Source organism: Homo sapiens, chromosome 10 (genome assembly GCF_000001405.40).
Source record: "Homo sapiens chromosome 10, GRCh38.p14 Primary Assembly".
Classification (NCBI taxonomy): domain Eukaryota; kingdom Metazoa; phylum Chordata; class Mammalia; order Primates; family Hominidae; genus Homo; species Homo sapiens.
In genome coordinates this window covers 130693596-130698129 of record NC_000010.11, presented here as the reverse complement: position 1 = coordinate 130698129, position 4534 = coordinate 130693596, and the positions used below count along the sequence as shown (strand labels likewise).

Genomic DNA, 4534 nt, shown 5'->3' with positions numbered 1-4534 from the left:
AGGGAGGATAAGTCTGAAGGCTCTGACACTTGTCAGTGATGAGGTGACCACAGGGAATGAACTCCTTGAGGATACTTAGTAGAAAACCACTCTACAAACTCTTAGCTCCAGCTCCCTTCCTTCAGTGAACTCCTTAGACCAGGGTGTCTCTCATCTGATGAGCTTTAGCTCTCCTTTCCCATCATGGCTGCCCAGGTCCTGGTGACTCCCTCTCCAGTACTCTTCCCTGAGCTTCTGGAGTACAGGATTCCAGAAGGAATTCCCCAAGGCTTTGATACTGTTGGGTGAAGGAAGAAGGCAGGGACTTCTGGGGCTACATGTCCCTGAGGATGACCTCGGCCTGTATATCCCATTGAACACCACCATCATCTGGCCCACCTTCTGCTCTTCATTCTACAGTCACAAGACTGTGTTCCTCAGGCAGAGGGAGGACACCTCTGTGGGGCAGGCATGTGGTTGCCTGAGATGGCCAGATTCCCAAGGTCATGCTAGACCTCAGTCACATGTATTCTCTTTGTCCATTTCTCCTTCCCCAGACATCGGGTCTCCCTCCAGTTCCTCTGCCTGCTCCTCCTTCTCCATATCCTCCTCCTACTCCTACAGAGCAGTGTCTGGACATGGGAGTCAGTGTCCTGCCAGAGGGGAGCTGAGGAAGGAGCCATACCAGAATCCTCTTCCTCAGGTTGGGTCTCACTCTTGGATGGGTAGTGAGACCTCCTCATGTGGTGAGCAGGGTGACAGTGTCCTCAGGACCCCCGGCCCCCTCTTGTCCATTTCTTCATCTCCAGCGTCTGCCCTCAAGTACCCTCTCCTTGCCCTCTTAGACCTGTTCTCAGTAATGCACTTGGAGTGGTAAGTGCCAATAAGTCCTTCATTCAGAAAAAAAATAAGAATCCATTCCAAGTGCACAAATCATCAGCAGTGGGTACCATCCCCTGCCCCAAATGCCTTGGCCGCTTCCACATTTCCTACCACTTTCTTCACAATGGAGGCCCATGTGGTAGCTCAGCCAGCGGGCTGCTGGAACTGGAAGTGCTTTCATTGTACTTCCGGGGCATCCCAGAACAGCACCCGGAAAGAGGGGGAATGAATGCCTCAGCTCCCAGCCTTGATGTGTTCTGCGGGAACTACAGGGCCTCCATCGCACACTGCAGGACTGGACCAAAGTTTCCCTCGGTGAGACTTCGCCAGATACTGCACCCCCATTTCATTCTCCCTCCCCAGTCTCAGCTCCCAGCTCCTCTTTATTTTGGAACACCGAGTAGCCTCCCACTTCCACTGAATCCTGGTTTCAGGTTCTCTTTCTAGAGAACCCAAACCAAGACACAGGCATACAGTGGAAATTCCCCTTCTCTTCCCATGCCTAGACCCACGGGCCTCCCCAGAGGCAGCTCCTCGATGTATTACTTGTTTTAGGAGCACACCGGTCTGGTAACACAGAGCAAAGACCTGTGGCTCCAGTTTCCTCATCTGTAAGATGAGATGATAGGGTCTACATAATAAGATGGCTTCCTTATGAGGGGTGAAGTAGTTGATATTTGCAAAGTGCTTAAGGTGGTGCATGTACACAGAGAGCACGAAGGAAACTTCATTAACTAACTACCTGCATACATGCTTGCATCTGTAAACTTCTGCCCTCCAATTTCAATTTTGACTTATTGCTGGATCAAAGAATCCATTTTTACTGAATCCCTGTGCTGTCTCAGCTGCCTGAGGCTTGGATGAACAGGAGGTACAGGTAGCTACTGGAATCTTGTACCACAAGCCTGACAGGGCCTTGGTTGCTGGGAGATTAGGACACCGTTCTTTTTGGAACGCAGCCAATTCATAAGGCTTCATCTAAGCATAGGTCAGGTAAGAGGCTCTAGTGGACACCAGAAGACCAAGGGGCTGGCTGTCAAAGCCTCAGTCCTTCCAGAGTGAGTTCTCAGGGAGCATGCCCCACATCCCAAGAAACAAAAAAGCAGCTGGAAGTTTGCTTTGCCATGGGAGCACGACTCAGCCAGGCCCCTACAGAAGTGTCTAGGCTGTCTCATTCATCATACCATGTCCAGCAAGGCTAAGGTTTGGCCATTCCCAAGAAAGATGCACTCAGTACCAGAGATCATTGCTTTGCATTTAGAAAAAGTGAGGGACTTCCGCCTGAAATTTTTCCTGGAATCTAATGTCAAAGTTCATCACACTTACAGCAAGAACATAGTGATAGCAGCCAGAAAACATATCAATTTCTTGATAAAACAATTAGGGAAAACAGCTAGACAGCTGATCAGTTCATCAGTTAATCCATTCCAAGACCAAGAACCAACTAAGATTCAATAAAATATATTGATTATTTTGGGCTTGATCTATAGGACTGTGAGAATTAAGTCTGGGATTTCAGACTCATTAAATCCCTCATCTCAGGAGTTTTTAAGGCTGTTTTAAGGAACGCTTTTTCTGCATTTGGCTCCCATTGTTGGAATTTTATGTTCTTTAAGATTTGTAGAATTTTAGTAATGTATAGGAGGCTGTTAATTTCACTTCTTATATCTTTAACTTTTTTTTTTTTTTTGAGACAGAGTCTTGCTCTGTTGCCCAGGTTGGAGTGCAGTGGTGCAATCTCAGCTCGCTGCAACCTCTGCCTCCCGGGTTCAAGCGATTCTCCTGCCTCAGCCTCCTGAGTAGCTGGGATTACAGGCATGCGCCACCACACCCTGCTAATTTTTGTACTTTTTTTTTTTTTAGTAGAGACGGGGTTTCACCATGTTAGTCAGGCTGGTCTGGAACTCCTGACCTTGTGATCCACCCACCTCAGCCTCCTAAAGTGCTGGGATTACAGGCGTGAGCCACTGCGCCTGATCGTCTTTAACTTCTTTTTACCAAGATGGCTGTGTGAAGTCTCTTACTGGACTGTGTTTTTATTTCTGCCCCTTTAACGATTTCCAGAAAATCTTTAGATTTCACAAGCAAAAAGAAAAAGACTTTATCGGGAGTCATTAGACCCTGAAAAATAAATCGCTGTCTGAAATGTGAGGTATCAACAAAGCATAATTTTACTTTCAACACATTGACCTGAAATCTTTCTGTGACCAAAATAATCCCAGGTGAGATTTAAGTATTTGTGGAAACTAATTAACTCTCTCTTTCCATAGCAACTTCCCACAGATTGGGTGGCAGTTCTCAAAGAATACACCTGATCTTACCATGTAAGTCATGACAGAATTCAATTGCATAACGAGAGGAGAAGTCCGTTAGTATTTATAGGCCCCCAGAATCACCTTTATTTTTCTCTTGATGTGACTTTAGATCTTTAATCAACACTTCCTTAAAGCATGAGAGGTAGAATTTCTTGAAGATACTGATGTGTGCAGTAGTTAATATTTCAATTTAGACCCACCCACTCAATCTAACGCATGTTTGAAAAAACAGAACAGATACAAATAATTACCAGTTAATACAAAAGCATGAAAAGCAAGAATCTTGTACTCACTAGCGCTATTCAAGACCCACAGGGGAAACCAGTAATTGCTTAATTTGGAGGATTTCCCTCAGGTGCCCGTGGATCTGCTTTGGAACAATACCTATGAGCACATCTTGCAGTCCCTTTCCCCTTCTGACCTGAGCTAGGTGTCAGATGAGATGGCAGGGGTCCTGCCCTCCATAGTTCTGCAGGCCTGTGATGCCTTATGCTGGCTGCAGGCCTCTGCATCTGTCATTCTCCACCTGCACATCCAGATAGTCTACCCCTCCTACCTGCACAGAAGAAAATCCTTTAAATAGCACTGTACAAAAAAAAAAGCTGGTTTCCACATCTTTAGATAAAAGCTTTGTGTCTTCATTCACTTAGCAAATATGTAAGAAGCATGCTAGTGATGTATTGGGAGAATGGTTTCTAGGGAAAAAAAATGATGTATTTGTGGTGTTTGTCAATTTTTTGGTGTAAATATTCTTAGCATGGCCATTTTACCTACAAACAGAACATCACTGGATACAGAGTTGGGGGAAGATGCATAGAATTGATTCTCATGAGCTGGCGCAAACCTGCTCCAGCACCCCACTGAAAATACCTGTTCTTTTGCAGACCTGATGTAAGACAATGATGCTACTGAGATACATGACAACATGCACCTGCTTCTGAGGAGCTCATAATGCAGCCTGCAGCACAGAGTGTGTGGAAAACCTTTCTTCTGCAGTATGACATTATCCAAGTTTATTACAGAGGCATCCTCTCATGAATGTTATGGAAAGTATAACTAGAGATACGTAGGCGAGCATGTGTCTTAGTCTGTTTCTGCTTCTTTAAAAAAAATACCTGAGACTGGATCATTTCTAAGAAACAGAAATGTATTTTCTTGCAGTTCTGGAGGATAGAAAGTCAAAAATCAAGGCACCAGCAGGGTCAGTGTCTGGTGAGAATCTGGTCTCTGTTTTCAAGATGGTGGCTTGAATGTGTGTCCTCACAGGGTGGAAGGAATGAAAGGGTAAAGGAATGAAGAGGTGAACTTGCTCCCCAAGCCTTTTTATAAAGCGCTCATCCTCTCCATGAGGGAAGAGC

The 4534-nt window shown here is 45.5% G+C and overlaps 1 long non-coding RNA gene across 1 annotated transcript; it reads left to right on the top strand.

The window, feature by feature from the left end:
• Positions 1-1087: 1087 nt before the first annotated feature.
• On the top strand, positions 1088-4247 carry LOC105378562 (uncharacterized). Its single transcript, XR_946479.2, has 3 exons — positions 1088-1176; positions 3132-3185; positions 4061-4247. It is a non-coding gene; the product is annotated as an uncharacterized LOC105378562 (long non-coding RNA).
• Positions 4248-4534: the final 287 nt, after the last annotated feature.